The 21091-nt window shown below is 37.1% G+C and overlaps 1 protein-coding gene across 25 annotated transcripts in view; it reads right to left on the bottom strand.

Annotated features, from left to right (window-relative positions):
- Positions 1-21091, bottom strand: part of SCAPER (S-phase cyclin A associated protein in the ER) — a 557437-nt gene that overhangs the window by 112458 nt on the left and 423888 nt on the right. For 23 of the 25 annotated variants that reach the window (NR_148227.2, XM_017022273.2, XM_011521653.4 and 20 more), the window contains one exon: positions 10851-10974. Coding sequence is in view for 23 of the 25 variants with exons in the window: in XM_017022273.2 (XP_016877762.1) it covers positions 10851-10974 (124 nt within the window). In the remaining 2 variants the exon portion in view is untranslated. Of the gene's footprint in view, positions 1-1134; positions 9390-10850; positions 10975-21091 lie in introns of those variants that run through there. The other 2 variants (XR_007064448.1, XM_024449940.2) reach the window with 2 other exon arrangements.

Consider the following 21091-nt stretch of genomic DNA (forward strand, 5'->3'; position numbering starts at 1 on the left):
ATCATTGGTGTATAGAAATGTTACCGATTTTTATAAGTTGATTTTGTATTCTGCAACTTTACTGAATTCATTCATCAGATCTAAGAGTTTTTTGGTGGAGTCTGGGTTTTTCTAAATATAAGATCATGCCAACTGCAAATGGGGACAATTTAACTTCCTTTTCTGAGCTTCTTGAATCTGCGTATTTATGTCTTTCACTAAAATTGGAAAATATTTTAGCCACTATTTTTTACAAAAAAATGTTCATGTCTCATTCTCTCTTCTCCTTTTGGATATCCAGTGATATGTACGTTACACTGTTTCATACTGTCTCATAAGTCTCTAAGCTCTGTTCCCTTTTAAATTCTCTTTCCATTCTTCAGACTACATTAATTCCTATTGATGTAACTTCAAGTTTAATGACCCTTTCCTCTGTCATCTCCAACCTGCTGTTAAACCCATCTAGTGAATTTTTAACAATTTAAAACTTTTGGTAAGCACTTTTAGGCTTCTCTTAGCTTTCCTTAATGTTAATATCCTACACAACTACAGCACAATTACCAAAACCAGAAAATTAACACTGGCTCAAAACAATGAACTTATCTACAGACCTTATAAGAGTTTTGCCAGTTTCCCCACTAACATTCTTTTTTGCAGTCCAGGATCCAATCCAAGATTCCATAATGAATTGTCATACCTCTTTAGTCTCCTCTAATATGTTTTTCAGTCTTTATATTTGAAATAGCTTTGGTTAGTTATTTTGTAAAATGCCCCTTAATTTTTGGTCTGATGTTTTCTCATAATTTGATGGTGGTTATGCACTTTTGGCAAGAATATCATAGAAGTGATGCTGTGAGCTTGTAAACATGTATTATTATCAGAGGGTACTGACGTTGACATAGCAACATCAGTAGTAGTGATGTTAGTTTTGATAACTTGGTTAAAGTGGTGTCTACCAAGGTTTTCACTGTGAAGTTACTATTACCCAACTTTTTTTTTTTTTTTACAAAAAAGATTATTTTGTGGGAAATTATTTTGAGATTATGCAAATATCCTCTTTCTCATCCTACATTTGTCCACTAATTTTTGCATCCACTGATGATTCTCTCCTGCAATATTTATTACTTTGGTTTTTGCCTAATGGTGATTTTTCTGTTTTTCATCATTCTTTCTCATTTATTAATTCATATAGTAAGTTTTTTATTTCAGGTATTGTATTTTCTAGTTTTTAAATTTCTGTTTGATTCTTTATTATGTTTTTACTTCTGTGATATTTCATATCCTTCATTATCAGCACATTTTTCTTTCTGTCATTGAGCTGAGTCATAAAGTTGTTTTAATATCCTTGTTTGCTAATTCTAACATCTGTGTCATCTCAGGATTGGCCTCTGTTAATTGCCTTAACTCTTGAAAATAATGCACATCTTCTTTCTCTTTATGTCAAGAAATCCCAAACACTGTGAATGCTATGTCATGAAGAATCTGGATTCTGCTATATTTCTCTTACAGGTGTTGATATTTTCTTTTTAAAGTAGCCATTTGACTTTGTTGGACTCAAACTGCAAAACTCTACTAGTGAATAGCAGCTCAAATCCCAGTTTTCTTGTCTTTAGCTGAGTTATACGGAGTTGTCTCATACATGTACAGTATATTCAGAATCATGCAGGTATTTGTAAATACTTAGGGGATATCCCTTTGTAGCTTTTCTCCTCCTGAATATCCTCCTAACATTCTAGCACTTGTCTTTGCCCTGAATTCTGTCCTCTGGTTCTTCAGGATAAAAAGATTGTGGATTTTCTATTGAGTTCTAGCCAGCCCATGTGGCACCAACTGTAGCCTGCCCTCATGCTGAAAGCCATACAACCAGGAAACTTACCCAACGCTGTTCCTTTCTTCCAAGTGACTATTCCCATCAGGATCTGCTTTTCATTGGTCCTTAGTACTTTTCAGGTATTTGTTTTCACATACTTTACTCAGCATTTACATTTGTTGTCTGCAGGAGGGTCAGTCCGATAGGAGCTTATTCATCCATAACTGAAGCAGAACTGGGTCATCTTCTATGATGTGGATTCTTTCAAATTTGATAATACTTGCTTATGGCTTAGTGAATAATTCTTATACATCTTCCATATGTGCTTATAGAGAATATATATTCTCTAATGTTGTACATAGGATTCTATGTGCATTAAACTGTTAATTGTTTTACTGAAACCTTTTACACCTTTAATAATTTTGTTTGCTTTATCTATCAGTATTTGTAAGCAGTGTGACATATTTTTTACACTGATGAAGGTACAAGTGTCAGCTTCTCCCTCAAGTAGTCATTTAATTATTTTAGGTGATAGTGATAATGGTGGTGAGGATACTATTTCATATGAATGTAGTAGAAAGGCAATCTGAGTTAAAATCTGGCCCATGTTCTTTTACCAGCTGAATTCTGAATGTAGCTTTGAGAGTAAAGCTCTATACACACAACATCCCTTAACTGTTCTCACCAACTTTAAAAATGGGCAGTCCGTTAAGTAAAATAATAGAAAGTTAACTTAGGATTTAGGAGACCTGAATTTGCATCCCAGTTATAGTGTTAACAGGCTGTAGAACTTGGGCAAGTATCCAACCCCACATATCTCCCATCCCTCTCCTCTTTTGAAGTCCATTATCCTCATCTATAAAACGAGTGGACTGAAATAGACTACATACTATGAAGACCTCCTCTCCAGTTTTGAAATTCTGTGTCAATAAGACATATGGCACAGGAGACATAAACAGAGTTCACACTTCTGCTGAAGGAAAAGGCAACGTGTCCTAGATATGCTGAGCAAGTACCGTACTATATAGTGAGGAAAGAAGGAAACAAGATGCAACTGGAAGAGTACTGTTACCTGTAGTGTTGAGGGATTTTTGCTCCCATGTAATTAACTATGGAGTCTATGTTCTGGCAACTCAATATAAAGAAACAATGTGGTGAATGGAGAGTTCCAGGCCTTGCTGCTGTAATGAAAATCAACAGGCACCTGGATGGCTCTGCACATGACTAAGTGAAAAACAATCCCCTTGCTGTAAGGTTGCACTTAGATTTCCTTTGTTTGTATCCAGGGCTTTCTTGTCACCTTCTGAAGAGCTCACCAGCAGCCTCTCTGATTCAACAGTATCATATCAATTATTTAAGGTTAGTACATCACTTTTCAATTAACAATCTCCTTGGCTCCCAAAAATACATACACACAATTTATCAGCATATTCATTAAATATTTCATAAGGAACAGGTCACTATGAATTAAAAATAAGACTGCTAATAAAATATTTAATGCCTTTTAAAATGCAATGAAACATCAAGAAATTATAAATCTTTTAATTAAGTGCTTTTTCAGTATATCTTACCAAAGTAATACTATTAAACTTATAAAATTAAAGTCACAAAATTGTTGCTTTGTTTCATTTGTCAACTTAAGAAAATGAGGACACATCAATTTAGCTTATAGGAAGGGAAGTCCTGGTCAGGGACTCAGAAGACCAGGGTCCAGGTCATGGTTCTGCCACTAGGTAGCTCTGTGATCCTTTTCCACATCTCAATTTGCTCATCAGTATATTGGACTGTTTAGATCTTGCCCAACATTAAAAGCTTATCCATCTATTTTCACAGCACTCAGTAGTACTTTCACTGGTCTTTTTTTTTTTTTTTTTTGTAAAAAGACATATAAATTTTCTTTATCAATTTTTAGGTGCATATTACAATATTGTTAACTATATGCACATTGTTGTAAAATGGGTCTCTAGAACTTTTTCATCTCACTTGACTGAAACGCTAAACCTATTAAACAACTCTGCTTCCCCCTCCCCTTGGTCCCTGGCAACCACCATTCTACTTTGTTTCTATGAGGCTGATTCTTTTAGATATGTCATTTAAGTAGAATCATGCAGTATTTCTGTTTTTGTAATTGGCTTATTTCACTTATAGCATCATCAAGGTTTATACATTATAGCATATGACAGAATTCCCTTCTTTTTTAAGGTTGATTAATATTCCATTGTTTGTACAGTTGTCCCTCAGTATACACAGGCGATTGGTTCAGTGCTCCCTGTGTATACCCAAATCTGCATATTCTCAAGTCCTGCAGTCAGCTCTGTGGAAGCTGCATATATGAAAAGTCAGTCCTACATATGTGTGGGTTTTGTATCCCATGGAGACTGCATTTTTGATCCATGTTTGGTTGAAAAAAAAACTATGCATAAATAGACCTATGCAGTTCAAACTTGTAGTGTTTAAGAGTCAATTGTATATGCCACGTTTTCTTTATCCACTCATTTGTTGATGAATATTTAGGTATTTCCACCTCTTGGCTCTTGTGAATAATGCCGAGGTGAACATGGCAGTGCAGATATCTATTCAAGATCCCAATTTTAATTATTTTGAATACGTACCCAGAAGCAGGATTGATGAATCATATGGTAGTTCTCTTTTTAATTTTTTTTAGGAACTTCCATACTTTTTTCCTTAGTGCCTGCACCAAAAGTGCACAACATTTCCAATTTCACCACACTCCTACCAATACTTATTTTCTGATTTGTTTTATAACAGCCATCCTAACAGGCATGAGGTGATATCTCATTGTGGTTTTGATTTGCATTTTCACAGTGATTAGTGATTTTGGTCATCTTTTCATATACGTGTTGTTCAACTGTGTATTTTCTTTGAAGAAATGTCTATTTAAGCCCTTTTCTCATTTTTAATTGATTATCATATATTTTTGCTATTGAGTTGTAGTTCTTTATATATTTGGATATTAACGTCTGACTTATTCCATTTGAGCTGCTATAACAAAATACTGTTATAAACAACAAACAGAAATTTATTTCTCACAGTTCAGGAAGTTAGGAAGTCCTGAGATCAAGATGCTGGCAGAAGTGGTGCTTTCTGGTTCATAGAAGGCGCTTTCCAGCTGTGACCTCACCTGACAGAAGGGGCAAGGCAGCTCTCTGGGGCATCTTTTATAAGGGTTCTGAAAGTATTCATGAGGGCTTTGTCCTCATGATGGAATCACCTTTCAAAGGCTCCTCCTCCTAATGCCATCACAGTGGTGATTAGGTTTCAACATACTAATTCTGGGGATACAAACATTCAGCCCACAGCACCCCTTTATCAGACATACGGTTTACAAATATTTTCTTTCATTCTGTACATTGCCTTTCTGCACTGTTGATTGTGACTCTGATGCGGAAGCTTTTTAGTTTAATGTAATCTCATTTATCTATTTTTGGCTTTTGTTGCCCCTGCTTTGGTGTCATATCTGATAAATCACAGTCAAGATCAATGTTATGAAGGTTTTCCCCTATGTTTTAATTTGGAGTTTTTTTAGTTCAAGTCTTACATTTAAGTGTTTAATCAATTTTGAGTTTATTTTTGTGTATGGTATAAGATAAGGGTCCCATATCATTCTTTTGCATGTGGATATCCAGTTTTTCCAACACAGTTTATTGAAGACTACCTTTTTTCTGCTGTGTATTCCTGGCAATCTTGTCAAAGATCAGTTAATTGGCCCTTTGAATATATCCCTCCACTCCCTTCTGGCCTACAGGGTTTCTGCTGAGAAATATGTTGATAGTCTGATGTGTGTTCCCTAGTACACGACAAGTCACTTTTTTCTTGTTTTCAAAATTCTCTTACTGTCTTTGAGAGTTTGACAATTTTATTATAATGTGTCTTGGTGTGTGTTTATGTTGATCTTATTTGGGGTCCTTTAGTCTTCTTGAATCTGGATGTCCATTTTCTTTCCCAGATTTGGGAAGTTTTGGGTCACTATTTAAGTAAACTTTCTGCCCATTCCTTTCTCTCTTCTTCTTGTGAACTTTCCATAATGTGTATAATGGGTTGGCTTGATGGTATGCCACAAATCCCTTAGGCTTTCATCACTCTTTCTCATTCTTTTTCTTTTTGTTCCTCTGGGTGGATAATGTCAAATAACTTGTCTTGAGTTTGCTGTTTCTCTCTTCTGCTTGACTGAGTCTGCTGTTGAACCCCTATTGTGAATTTTTCAGTGTAGCTATTGTATTCTTCAGTTCCAAAATTGGTTGGTTCTTCTTTTTTTTTTTTTTTTTTTTTTTGTATTTTCTGTCTCTTTGTTGATATTCTCATTTTGCTCATGCATTGTTACCTTGAGCTCATACAGCATCTTTATGAGGGCTATTTTGAATTCTTTGTCAGGTAATTCATGTCTTTGTTTCTTTAGGATTGGTTTGTGAAGATTTATTTTGCTCCTTTCTTTGGGCCATGTTTCCCTGTTTCTTCTACGTCTCGAAAGCTTTGTTGGGATCTGTGCACTTGACAAAAAAAGCCACTTCTTCCAGTCTTTATGAACTGGCTTTTGTAGTATGGAAAACCCTCACTAATGAGCTCAGCTAGGGGTTCTGGGGGCCTCTGAAAACTTTGGGGGGGATACAACTTCTCTAGGCCAATGTATGCAATTTCTCAACTAGAGATGCTTGCTGCTTTCTTATTCAAGTGATCATAATCTCTTCCTTTCTCTGGTATCTGTCTTTAGCACTGTGATATGGTTTGGATTTGCGTCCCTGCCCAGATGTCATGTTGAATTGTAACCTTCAATGTTGGAGGAAGGGCCTGGTGGGAGGTGACTGGATCATGGAGGCAGATTTCCCCCTTGCTGTTCTTGTGATAGTGAGTTTTTACAAGATCAGTTGTTTAAAAGTGTGTAGCATCTCCTCCTTCACTCTCCTCCTCCTTCTCCAGCCATGTAAAATGTACCTGCTTCCCCTTTGTCTTCTGCCATGATTGTAAGTTTCTCAAGGACTGTACAGCCTGCAGAACTGTGAGTCAATTAAACCTCTTTCTTTATAAATTACCCAGTCTCAGGGAGTTCTTTATAGTAGTGTGAAAACAGACTAATACACATTGCACGTTCTCTAGTTTTATGGCAGCAAGCCTCCCTGTTTTTGTTGTTCTCAGCAGCATCCAAAGTATGCTAGCCCCAAGTCAGGCAAGACAGATAGCAATCTCTCAGGCAGCCTTCCAAAAAGCTGGGATATTGTCCACATGCCCCACTCTTCTCTCTCCCTCCCAGAGGAGAAGCTGAGAGTTGGGGTGTCTTTTTTTTTTTTTTTTAAAGACAGGATCTCACTCTGTTGCTGAGACTGCAGTGCAGTGGCACAATCATGGCCCACTGTAGCTTTGAACTCCTTGGTTCAAAGTATTCAAGGTATGATCGAATTAAACTTCTTCCCTCAAATCTTCCCAATTCCCCAAGTCAGAATTTATTCATTCATTCATCAAATACTGAACAAGCACCTATTATGTGCTAGGTACTCTACTAGGTTGTCTGAGCTACGTTGTAGTTCTGATAACATTATAGAACTTCTCATCCCTTCCTATAGTCATTAATATTTGCATATGCAATTTCTTCCTTCCTTAACTGTGTGCTTCTAGAGTGATGGAACTGTGTCCAGTTCACCTCTGTAACCCAGGCATCTGGACAATGCTTTGGAAATAGTAATTAAAATGAAATACAAGAGTGCCAAAACAAACTCCAAGTGGCTAGAAGAAAAATGTCTCCTAAACCATCTGGGTTTGCTAAACATAACCAGAAAGACAACAGTACCTGATGATAATCAGTTGTCTTATAAATAACACCAGATCACAATTAATTAGCTTCTTTTATGCTTTTTTCTATTCTTGTTGGAAAATGTATTGACAACTATTTTTTAATCCCTTATTTAAAGGATACTAATAAGTCAGTGGTCCATATTTCAGTTACATGTACATCAAAACCAGTTAGCAAGAAAAATGAAAATACACTCAAGTGATTTTCAGAAACATAAAAATCACCATCACCAACCACCCCAAACCAGGAAACACTTCCTCCTTCACTCACTGCCACAAACCCAGTTACAGCAACAGTAAGAATTGACAGCGATAAAATAAAGAGCCCAAAAGGAATGAAAAAACTCAGAAAGTGCCATGTATAAGAAAAAAAAGGTTCAAATGTGTTTGGCAAACTAATGTCCCAGGATCCCAGTTCCAAACTAAGCAAAATTCATGGGCAGAATAAACATAGAATGTGGTCAAATCCATTGAGAGATTAAAAGCTTTTCTGAGGTCAAGAAACCTTAGGTTACAACGAAGGTTATTCAAAGGGAACTAGGGCTTTATTATTCAAAGGGAACTAGGCTTTCAAAGAAGAAGAAAATGATCAAGGTACCCACAAGCTCCAGGCCCATGGTTGGTACTTAATAAATGAGAGCTATTATGAGGAGCTGAGAACTAACTCAAATGTCCCTCTTTTGTGATGTCTCAGGGAGGATCACTGAATATCTTTCTCTGTGCTCCCATAGTACTCTATACAGGCTGCTATCATATCATTTACTGTATGTACTAGGGTCCGAATGCTGTGTCCCTCCTAAATTCACATGTTGAAATATAATGTTTAATGTGGTGATATCTGGAGACGGGGCCTGTGGGAGGTAATTTGGTCATAAGGATGGAATCCTCATGAATGGGATTAGTGCCCTTATAAAAAGAGGCCAGAGAATTAGCTTGCACTCTTTTCACCATCTGGGGATAAAGTGACAAGTCAGCAGTTTGAAACCTGGAAGAGGGCCCTCACCATAACCTATGGTGGTACTTTGATCTTGAACTTCCAGACTACAGAATGTGAGAAATAAATTACTGTGTTTATAAGCCATCCAGTCTATGGTATTTTGTAATTGCAGCCTGGACTGAGACAATATGTCATCTATATTATGACATATGACATCTATACATATGCAGAACCAAGATTCTTTCTTTAAGTCTTCTTGTTCATTCCCTCACATTTCAAATGCCATTCTCTTTCATTACTTGTTCTGTTCAAAGTAATGTCTCTTATTCCACTACCAACATAGAATAAGCTTCATGGAGTAAATTCTTCCAGATGATGCAGTATGAAATGATAGGAGAGCATGAAGTTATTTTTTTTCATTCTTGTTTTGAAATAATTTTAAGTAAACAAATATGTTGCAAAAATAGAGCATTCCTTTAACCCAGTGTCCCTTACTGTTAACATCTTACAAAAACATAGTATAATAATTGAAAGGAGGAAATTAACATTGAGCCAATAAAACAGACTATTCTATAGATCTTACTTGAATTTCCAAGTTTTCCCATTGATGTCCTTTTTCTGGTCCAGGATCATACATTACATTTAATTGTTATGTGTCCTTAGTCTCCTCCATTCTGTGACAGTTCCTCACTTTTTCCTTGTCTTTCATGATATTGACGTTTTTGAAAAATATTAGTCAGTTATTGTGCAGAATGTCCCCCAACTTGGGTATGATACACCTAGGTCTGATTCTTGGCTTTCTGACTTAATATCTATGTAGCCTTGGGCAAGTCAACCTCTCTGGGACTCAAGTTTCCTCATCTGTGAAATGGAATAGTAATACTGACTTTAAGAGGCTGCTTTCAAAATTAAATGAAGCAAATATATTAAAATGCCTGGGATATAGGGCCATACAACAAATGTTATCTTTTCTCCTTGTGCTGCCTTTCAAATATTTCTGATAGAATTTTTTTTTTGCTAAAATATCTTACTCATATTTTAATGCCTTATTTTTTTAGACAAAATCATATATAATGTAGCCTTTGATGACTCATTATCATCACTATAAAAAGCCATTGTTGTACTGTGCAACAGTTCCAGATCTGTATTTTTGTTTGCTTTCCCTTATTGCTATTCCCTCTCAATGTCAATATGTCTGACTGTAAGGGCTTCATAATTCCATTTCTGATTTTCAGCTTGTGATGTATCAAAATTCATTTATTCACCCACACATACATACAATGACGTACTGAATCTACTAAGTGCCAGGTCCTATGTTAGAATCTTGGAGATAGTGATAACTTACTTCCTGTCCTCATCGATTTTATGGCTAGTGGGGGAAACTGACAAGAAAATAGTTAAATACAGTTCAGTGTGATCAATTCTATCAGAGATGCTTAAGATCACATAAGAAGTATACTTAACCTGAATCTGGGGAAAGAGTCAGGCTGGGGAAGATCTCATGAAGAAGGTAACATTAAGCCTTGGTAAAGGACTGCAAAATGCATAGGAATTAACCAGATAGAGGCAATAGCTTGTAGTTTAAGGAAGAGTTACTAGAACTGTGTGCTGAGTAAAAGTACATTGGTTCTGAAAAATAAATCTCTTGTGTTATAAACTTGCAGCTTGAGAGCTATTTTGTGCCAATACCTCAGGGGCTTAGAAACTTCACCAGGAAACTCCTGGCGACTGCAGTTGACATACTTAAACCTTTGGCTATTACATTGAGCTTACCTCTTTCAACATCTGTGAACTGAAGTAAAATTTAAGGTGAAAATTGGCTGCTTGTTCCCATTTCAACAATATAACAAGTTTTCTCCTTTCTAACAGAGGAGTTTTCTTTTCTAACATAATCTAAATATCCATCAAAAAGTCCTCTTAAACTGACCCTTTTAACTTAACCTGGCAAGAGAGGTTTTGAGGCTTTCCTAACATTCTTCCTTTCTACAGTACTAATTCCTGTGGCTTTAGAGGTTTGCCTTTGCATCCAACTGATTCCAAAGCCCCAGTCTAACTATGTAAATCTGTAACCTTAGCAAGTGTTATAAGTCTATTATCCATTAAATATTGGAACTTAAAAGAATCCAATGCAAAAATTTCAAATTATTAATAAATTTGTCTGCCAGTCTCTATTCTCACAGTCATCTTCACTTTCTTCTTCTTCTTCTTCTTTTTTTTTTTTTTCATCTGGAGAGTAACTAAGTTGAATTCTTTTAGTTTTCTCCACAGGGACTATTTCTCAAACCTTAACTGCTTCTAACTCAAAGCAATAATATTACATACCGTCAACTGGTGTATCAGGAGGTCCATTAAGAAGGTAATCTTGTTACTAAACAGAACATCACTGCAGTTTTCTGAACAGTTATTGCAGGTGAGGTTGTAAACATTGATTGCATTGCAGAGAGACCTAAAAGAAGGAGAAAAACACCATTTATAAAACCCGAGCAGCTCTTCTTTAAACAATTAAAAATACATAAAATGAATGGTATGAAAGCCAACAGGCATGAGATGGAAGTCACTCTAAAAACCAAGCCAAATACTATTAGGTACAAGGCCCATCAGCTAGATATAAAAGCTTATAATTTTCACCCAAAGCCCAGTGTTCACTGGTACCTAATAACTCTTACTAATTTCTATTAGCTGCAGTTGCAGATAATGGAAACATATTTTACCAGTCTATGACAGTTTCTGAATACTCTAAGACTAGATGTTATCTAGGAACCTTGGTTCTTGAAATAATACCCAGAAAAAAAAGGAAAAGGGCTCTATCAAAGCTTCTGTTGCCAGATCACCTGGTCCGGGATAAGAAAGATCATGGAAGAAGAGAGCACCCATAAGGAGAAACTGGAGGCTCTCCATGTAAGATAAGACCCCGGAGTTCTAGGGAGTCGACATCACACTGCTTGGAGGCGGGGCATGGATGAGTGCCTGAGCAGATGAGGACATCTTTCCCAGAGTGTAAAAACTGGCCTGCGTGGGCCCAGACAGTTTAAGGTCAAACTGATCAAAGAAATGTTTTTCTCTAGGAGGTTAAAAAAATATGCTGAAAAAACTATAAAGCCCCCAGAGCCTGAACAATGTGAAGAAGGGGCAAGAATGACCCCAGCCCGACCAGTCTGCCTGCTGCTGCATTCCTGCATCCATAGCATATGTCCTGCCGCATCACTGCCATGCCCAAGAAAAAGCTGAAGGGGATGCTACAGGCAATAGAGCCAAGGTGAAGAACAAGCCAGAAAGATCCGTAAGGTTGTCTGCTTAACCTGCTCCTCCAAAGCCAGAGCCCAACCCTAAAAAGTCCCCTGCAAAGGAGAGAGAGGAGGTACCCAAAAAGAAAAAGGAAAATGCTGACACTGGCAGGGAGGGGAATAACCCTGCAGAAAATGAAGATGCCAAAACAGACCAGGCACAGAAAGCTGAAGGTGCTGGAGATGCCAAGTGAAGCGTGTGCATTTTTGGTGACTGTGTACTTCTGGTGACTGTATAGTTTGAAATACTATTTTTACGAAGTTTTATAAAAATGCAAAATTTGTTTTACTTTTTTTTACTCCTGCCTCAGCTTCACCAGTAGCTGGAATTACATGAACCTGCCACCATGCACGGCTAATTTTTGTATTTTTAGTAGAGACGGGGTTTCAACATGTTGGCCAGGCTGGTCTCGAGCTCCTGACCTCAGGTGATCCACCCGCCTTGGCCTCTCAAAGTGAACCACCATGCCTGGCCTTGTTTTACTTTTTCAAAGCTATGTTGTTAGCACACAGAACACTTTACTGTTGTATTGTGGGGAAGGGTCATAGGTCACTAATAGAATGTCTCTGATGCTGGATTGATGTGGGGAAAACACCTTTCCCTTCCCATTTTGAGAGACTTCTTGACTCCCAGGAGGAGGGATTCCATGACTCTGAGACATGTAGCCACCTTGGCACAAATCCCTTGTGGTATGAAATAACAAATTAGTTGTTATGTCCTCTTTTCCCTTGTCATCTTCAACATAGACTTAACTCCCTTAAACCCAAACTCTGTTGGGCCCTGACCCTCCAGTAATTGGTTACCAGTGTGTCAGGCAATCAGACTTTCCAGTGGTGCCACTGAGATGGAGCCCCCCAAAAAGAGTAGAGTTTCCATTTCTAGATTGTGGATTTTCAGATTTTCAGATAAATTCTGCCATTTTTATTTCATTTCCTGGAAGTCAGGGTCAGTTCATGAAAAGCTGTTAAACAATATGCTAAAGTTGAAATGTCAACCCTCACTCTAAACTCTCCCTGTTCAGGGCATAAAATGAAGACCTCACTGGGTTTTATAGTGGCTTTCCGATTTTGCTAGTCCATTGAAGAAGGGAGTTTGAAAGTTGTTGTACACCGTTAACGATTATCTGCCCATGTCCTGCCTGAAATACCCTGATTGTTTATGGAAAGTAACTTTAATAAAGCTAGATATAGTTTGGCTTGGAAAAAAATGATATGCAATTGTTTAAAGAAACTTTTAGAGCAACAAGGTCAATGGGCACGACAGATTCCTGGATGTTTTGAATACTGTGACTAAAACCTGCATTGCCTGAGTGACCAACGTTTATTTTGGCCTGTCTGACTAAATCTCCTGCTTAAGTTCTAGGTAAAAATGTTTTGATTTAGTCCCTTACAACCAAGTCTCTAGGACAGTTCTTAAACATGTGATTCACAGACCAGCAGTATTGGGAACTTGTAAGAAATGCAAATTCTCAAGCTCTAACCCAGACCTAGTAAACAGCAGCTCTGGGGATTTTAACAAGTTCTGCAGGTAGTTCTGCCACATATTCAAGTTAGAGAACCACTGCTCTCGGATAGGGGTTCTGTATCTTGACTAAGCATTAGGATCACCTGTAGTTTTATTTTACTTTATTATTATTATTATTTTTTGAGACAGGGTCTCACTCTGTCACCCAGGCTGGAGTGAAGTAGAACAATCTCGGCTCACTGCAACCTCTGACTCCTGGGTTCAAGCTATTCTCCCACCTCAGCCTCCCAAGGAGCTGTAATCCCAAGGATTACACGCGTGTGCCACCACACCCATCAAATTTTTATGTTTTTAGTAGAGACAGGTTTCCTCTTGTTGGCCAGGCTGGTCTCGAATTCCTGGCCTCATGTGATCCACCCACCTCGGCCTCCCAAAGTGTTGAGATTACAGGCGTGAGCCACCATGCCTGGTACCTGCAGATCTTTAAAAATATATGCTTGCCTGAATTCTTCCCTTGGTGGTACTAGTTGGGAAATGGGGTAGGCTCCTGACATCTGAATGTTTCAAAATCTTTATGGGCAATTTTGATGTGCAGCCAGAGTTATTTGTTCATTCAAAAAATATCTAACTTCCTATGATGTTCCAGGTGTTGTGCTAGGTGGATAAGATAGGCAAGTTCTCTGTCCTTATGGAGCTGATGCTCTAGTGGGAGAGAGATGGTGAAGAGAGACCTTGTTATACTTGTAATCATCTGTCTGATATAGCTGTATACTGCTTCACATAACTGATAGGTTCCTGAAAAAAGGGCACAGTAGAATATACTGGTTAAGACTAGAGACATTGGAGTAAGATACTAGTTAGAATCCTACTTCTACCATTCAAGATTTTAGCAAGTTAGTTACTAATTTCACGTAATAGCATCCATTTTTTCACCTATAAAACTGGAATATCTAAACTTTGTATGCCTGTCATGAGAACTGAGATAATAGATGTAAAGTACTTAGGACAGTGCCTGGCACATGATTAAGTACTTAATAAATGGTAGCCCTTATTATGGCTATTAGTCTATTATTTGGGTTATTAATCTTATTATTCTTAATGAATAAGGTATAAATAATATGTTAATAAACAGAATCAAATTAAAGCATGCTACAGATGCTTATTTCCAGGTTAGTAAAGCACAGTGCTTGCCAAATTTTTTCATGGTATGCTGACATAAATGCTGAAAGGACTAAGTTGATGGGAGCCAGAAGGAGACTCATCTGTTTCCAGCCTCACCCAATTTCCCTGAGTAATGAAAAAAAAACCTTGACCCACATCTAACACATTTATGACATATCAGTTGGAGGTTCTATCTAGCAAATTCTCCACAGATGTCAACCAGCACCACTTCATTTATTTGATAACATGTCTAAATTTTCAAGAGTATTTTTCTATTTAATTTAAAAATAATGTGCATTTATGCTGATAAAAATAATTTTAAAAATAATTGTCATAAATCTGGGAAAGAGAACCACAAAGAAATACTAAAATACTATCAAGAGAAAATTTGGTATTTGTACTTCTAGTCTTTTTCCTATTCTTATAAATAAATTTACATTTATTTTTTATCCCATTTTCCCATATCTTAATTAATATATAATAATGAACAGTTCTCCATGACATCTAATATTCTTCTATAACACTAGCCTTTAATTTTTTTTTTTAAGGTGGAGTCTTGCTCTGTTGCCCAGGCTGGAGTGCAGTGGCATGATCTCAGCTCACTGCAACCTCCGCCTCTTGGGTTCAAGCTATTCTCCTGCCTCAGCCTCCCGGGTAACTAGGATTACAGGCACACACCACCACACCCAGCTAATTTTTGTGTTTTTATCACCATGTTGGCCAGGCTGGTCTGGAACTCCTGACCTCAGGTGATCAACCTGCCTTGGCCTCCCAAAGTGCTGGGATTACAGGCGTGAGCCACCATGCCCCATCAGCTTTTAATTTTTAGGAAGAGCAGGGAAATTCTTTCTTCAAATAAAATCTTACTCAGAAGCTTGAACCAAAGAACAGATAAAATCAGAGTTGCTCTGGCTGAAGCAGAAGTTGGAGACCCAGCGACCTACCCTGCTTTCCCCTTTCAAAGACCCTTGAAAGCGTCCTTAGAGGCCTGGGGGTGTGTTCCTTTGTGATACAGTGAAAACTAATGAGCTAAGAAACAAGTAAAATTTAATTTGCTAACTTTTTGAATAGGTGATGATGACCACAGTACAATTATGCCAAAACAAAAAAAGTGCACTATGAAAAGCTTCTCCCTATTACTCATGTCCCCCAGCCTCATCTTAGAAATCATCATGGTTACTGGTTTACATATCCTTCCAGAGACAATCCGAGCATGGAAAGCCTTTTATTCTCCCCTACACAAACAGTATCCTACAAGATTTGGAGGTTGAATGTGAGTCAAAGACATCTTCCTGTGGCTCTTGGTTGTTATTAGCAAGGTTTGGAAACATGAGGCTTTCCTGCAGCAGCATTCTGGGGTCCATTTTCCAGCTTCCTGGGCATCAAAAATCAGTGGCATAAGTTGTGCTAATTTCTCGTCTGTAGCTTCGGGTACACATTCTGTGGTTTCTTGGGTGTAAGAGATAGTTGTTTGTGTGGCATTAGCCACACATTTACTTCCTAACTTGTGCTGGCCTCAGAAGGAGCAGCACCCCTGTGAATTTGTTTGGTATTGTTTCAGGAGTCAATCTAGAAGTCTTACAACAATTTTCTTTTTCCTTCCTTTCCCTTCCTTTCCTTTCTTTTCTTTCTTTCTTTTTGAGACAGGGTACAGGGTGTTGTTCTGTCACCCAGGCTGGAGTGCAGTGGCATGATCATAGCTCAATGCAGCCTGAAACTCCTAGGCTCAAGTGATGCTTCTACCTCAGCCTCCAGAGTAGCTGGATCTACAGGTACACACCACAACACCCAGCTAATTTTTTTTTTTTTTTTTTTTTTTTTTTTGTAGAGACAGAGTCTCACTATGTTGCCCAGGCTGGTCTTGACTTCCTGGCCTCAAGTGATCCCTCCTACCACCTAGGCCTCCCAAAGTGTTGGGATTATAGGCGTTAGCCAACACACCTAGCCGTCCAAGAATTTTCTAAGTACTTAATGTCTTATACTAAGTTCCCTCTCTGAGTAAAATACTTAAACTGAGAAATACTGCATAGTCTTTAAAAGCTAAATAGTTTCTCATCCTGTGGATATAAAAATTTACTTCAATTAATCTCTTACTATTCTGTCCAATTTTCAATGTTATAAAGTTGTTTTAACAACAGTCAGAATTCTTAGTTGCAAGCCATGGTGTTAATGGGGGGGAAGCTCAGGTTGATTTAAATAGAAAGGAAATTAATTGACAGGCTACTTGCGTATATAATAGAATTTGGAAAACTTAGGTGTTGAAGTTACACTTCCAGAACTAATATCCAAAGAACACAACACCAAACTGGTCTGCTGAAAAAAAACCACTGGGCACCATATGAGACAGACTGAACTAACATTGTGACTTTGAAGGCTAGATATAGCTGCCTCAAACTCTCCAAAGAATACAGTTTGAGATGTCTTTGCTTCTTTACTTCATTGCCTTCAGAGTGAAAGTCTAGTGTGGGTATGGTGGATTGTAAAACCTTGGTCACATTCCTGTATCTTAGACACTAAAGACTGGGAAGCAAATACTTGGCACTCTCAGGTTCTATAGTGAGAGAGCCATCTTATATGACTGAGAATTCTGCAAATATATATAGGACAATGGTTGAGATGCTGTGCAGGTTAACAGCACAACCCATGTTTACAACAGCTGCTGAACAAATCATTCTGTACCACTCTGCCTTCTTCCCTAGGATAAATTTCCAATAATGATAATTTGAGTCAAAGAATATGAACATTTTATGAAGCCTTTTGATAGATATTATCAAATTTAAACTGCCCTCCAGAAAAAAAATTGTAATCAATTTATACCCCCAGAAAAATATTTTTTCCATGCTTTCACCAACATTAAATAATCTCATTAAAGCAAATATTTACCAATTTGACAGCTAAATAAAACCGGTATTTTAAAGGTTACATTTCTTTGATTATCAGTATGATTAGAGATTTTTTCCCGTGTTTATTTGCCATGTCTATTTACATTTTCTTGCATTATCACGGTGTGCCTTCTACTCATTTTCTATTGGGGTGTGTTTTCCTTATTTATTTATAAGGCTCTTTACTGATAATATAGATGTTAACCCTTTTGGTCATATTTTAAAAATAACTTTTCCAGTTTATTGCTATCTTAATTTTTTTTTTTAGTTTTTTTTGGTCATAAATAACTTTTACATTTTTATTTGATACAATCTGCCAAACTTTTCCTTTAGGACCTCTGAGATTCCTGTCAGACTTAGAAAGGCCATTCTACTTGAATATTATAAAAATATTCTTTTAAGTTTACTTCTGGTGCTTTTATGAGCTTTGCCTTTGAATTCACAATATAAACTTGATTTAGGCATAAGGGAAAAAGACATTTACTTTCTTATTTTTCTTCAAAATAAAGTTGCTATTTATCATCATCTTTTTGTTAATTGTTCTAGTTTGCTATTTTAAAATTTGGGGAGGAGGTTTTCATCTTTTAAAAATAACTTACTAAGATTATCTCATTATAAATATGACAAATGGTTAATACATATTGTTAATATCTTTTTCCAGCTTAACTTTTATCTTCCATTTTGCTTATGTTATTTTAAAGTTTTTAAAAATATATTGAGACTAAACAATTCTATGTAGTCTAACAATTTTTGTAGTTTTCTTTTTCCTGCTTTTCTTTTTGTGCTTTAAAAATTCTTTCTCACTCTCACTATGAGATGAGGTAATTATTCATTTGTATCACCTTCTAACCATTTGTATTTATTTTCCTTGAATTATCACTGTGTATGGTAATTTTATGGTTTTCTAATTCACTGCTGATTCATTTAGAATTTATTTTGGTGTGTTGTGTGAGACAGGAGCCCGAATTTATTTTTCCCATGAAGAGGTATTAAATAAACCCTCCTTTCTCCACTGGTTTGAAATGCCATCTTTATCAGACTCTAATTGATAACTATCTATCATCGTGTCTATTTCACATTGTTTTGTGTATTGTAGCTTTATAGTAGAGTCAATATATAAAATTGCAGATCTCTAAAGGCTTTTAAAAATATTTCGGGGTATTAAATTAAGAATAATGTGTGGAACATTACAACTCTATTCTATTTTCCCTTTGGTTTTGAACTACATTTATATAACCTTTATTTTTAATTTTTTTGTTTGTTTTATTCAATGGAATTCCTACTACTTGTTTCAAATCTTTTGTGCGTTATCATGAGGCATGAACAAACAACACACGGTATGGGACTAATGTCCTAATGCCCTCTGTGCTTTACATTATATAGAAAAGTCATTTATGGGTAAAGTGTGGAATGTATATCTACATAATCTTAGGCTCACAAAACTCTCCTGAGAAACTTTCACAAAGAAACCACTTTCTGATGAGGAAAAAAAAGGAGGAGGGAACCGAAAAACTCAGGGTCAGGAAAAACTTGTCCTTTCAGTAAAACTTGTTTGAAAGACAACCTCTATTTGAGGAGTACCTGTCTTAGAAAGATCACTCCTTTGAACCCAGCCTGGGTGGTCTACCCAAGCAGCTTTCCCTGTAATTTTAAACTCAAATGACTAGAAGCACGTTTTAACATCAAACAGAAAGCACCAGATTTTCAAAGTATCTTTTGAGAAGACATTAAAAACTTATTGTCCATCCTGTCAAAAGTACCCTGTGGTTGGGGGTTTGAGATAAAGGCTTTCTGCTCCAAAAAATCATGAATATGTGAGTGAATTTTTGTGTCAGTAAGTCTTTTCACTGAAAATGTTTCCTCTCAAAAAACAGAGGATAGGAAAAGCATCATAAAATTGGGTCTTTTGACAATAAGTGCAGGACATATAGAAAAAGGACAGTAATAGAATACAAGTGTAGTACACAGCTAAGACATTATGAAATAGTTAAACAGAAAAGCTCCAGGTGGTTGCCATGTGGGAAGGTTTAATAATATAACTTAGAAAGTACATAGTTTATATTCTTGTGCAGTTTGCAGTGGTTAAGACTTAAAAAAAAACACACACTGTTCACCAAAATCCATTGTCATACACCTGTGTCAAGAGAGCAACCATTTTTAAACAACTGCCAAAGGCAATTTCACAAAATCTACATGGGGGAGGGAGAATGGCTTTAAGTTCTGGCACAGTAAAATTCTGTGCCAAGTAGGGATAGCAAGTACTAGGATCACATAAATATGGCTGCAAAGAGAAACTTGGTGTTTTTATCAATTATCGTTTTGCCCTCAAGTAAGAACAGAATTAGCCTGATACGGATAAATGTAAAAGGACAGATCCTCGCAAAACAAAGAAGATGATTAGCAGTTTATATAGTATTAGTTTGATGAGAACCCTCTAGATTGGACCAGAACACCCAGACCTGGAGTTTTCCAATTCGTTAGGAAAGGGAGAGACAAATGTTAACACCAGAGCCCCAATGCATATGTAATTTACTGAATATCTTTGGTTTGCACTAAGGATTTAATAAATAGCATACAGTTTATATGCATTTAGTCATTCTCAAATTATGCTTTATCTTTATAAAGCTCCAAATTAGTTTCTTTAGATATTATTTAAAAGAATTATGTGAAACTAGGGAGGTCTAACTGTGCTTAGAAGTCTAAGGCCTGAAGTGAACCTAAGTCAGTGCCCCTCTCACAGAATGAGACGTAATCTAGGCCTGGCCCTGCAGGAGTGGCCCACCTGAAAGCACGTACCAATTCTAGAGGCTGAAACTGAGACTTGGGTCAAACCACTGAAAACTATATTCTGTTACATAACCAGCCTAAGTTGCTTCTAGGCAAGATCCTTGTCTCATTCATTCTGTCGGGACCCCTCATACTGTGCAGCACAAAGTCTGGCTGAGCACAAGGATGTCCAATGAAGGGACAACTGTCTTCCTTGTTTAAAACATACAAGAATGTGTAACTGTGGAATATCTTAATACATTAATTAGCCACATTCTCCACTATTCTACTTTTTTTTTTTGAGACGGAGTCTCCCTCTGTCACCCAGGCTGGAGTGCAGTGGTGCGATCTCGGCTCACTGCAAGCTCCGCCTCCCGAGTTCATGCCATTCTCCTGCCTCAGCCTCCCTAGTAGCTGGGACGACAGGCGCCTACCACTATGCCTGGCTAATTTTTTTGTATTTTTAGTAGAGACGGAGTTTCACCGTGTTAGCCAGGATGGTCTCGATCTCCTGACCTTGTGATCCGCCCGGCTCGGCCTCCCAAAGTGCTGGGATTACAGGCATGAGCCACCGCGCCCGGCCCACTATTCTACTTTTTAATGCTGATTTGATCATGAACATTTATTCTCAGCCAATCTGGTTTATTCTCAGCACCAGAGAAATATTTTATTTTTTGTAGCTATCAGGAATAAAATTTGGACCCAACAGAGAGAACTGTGAAGTATCTAAAAGTTTTGAAGTGTATTTATAAAGAAGGAAAATTATTTTAGAACTTGAAAATTAGATTGTGGCTAAATTGCTTTATAAATATGCTGGGAGGCAAGATTAAAACTTATAAAAGTTATTTTATTAAGCTTTCACTGTAAGCAGTTTTAAGAGGAGACATAATCTACTGATTCTGCGTAAAAGCTGAATTATGATGGGATTATATGACTGTTCATTTAACTACTGTTTATTGGGCATCTATTTATGTCTAGGTGCTATGCTAAGTGTAACAGGCAACA

Source organism: Homo sapiens, chromosome 15 (genome assembly GCF_000001405.40).
Source record: "Homo sapiens chromosome 15, GRCh38.p14 Primary Assembly".
NCBI classification, from domain to species: domain Eukaryota; kingdom Metazoa; phylum Chordata; class Mammalia; order Primates; family Hominidae; genus Homo; species Homo sapiens.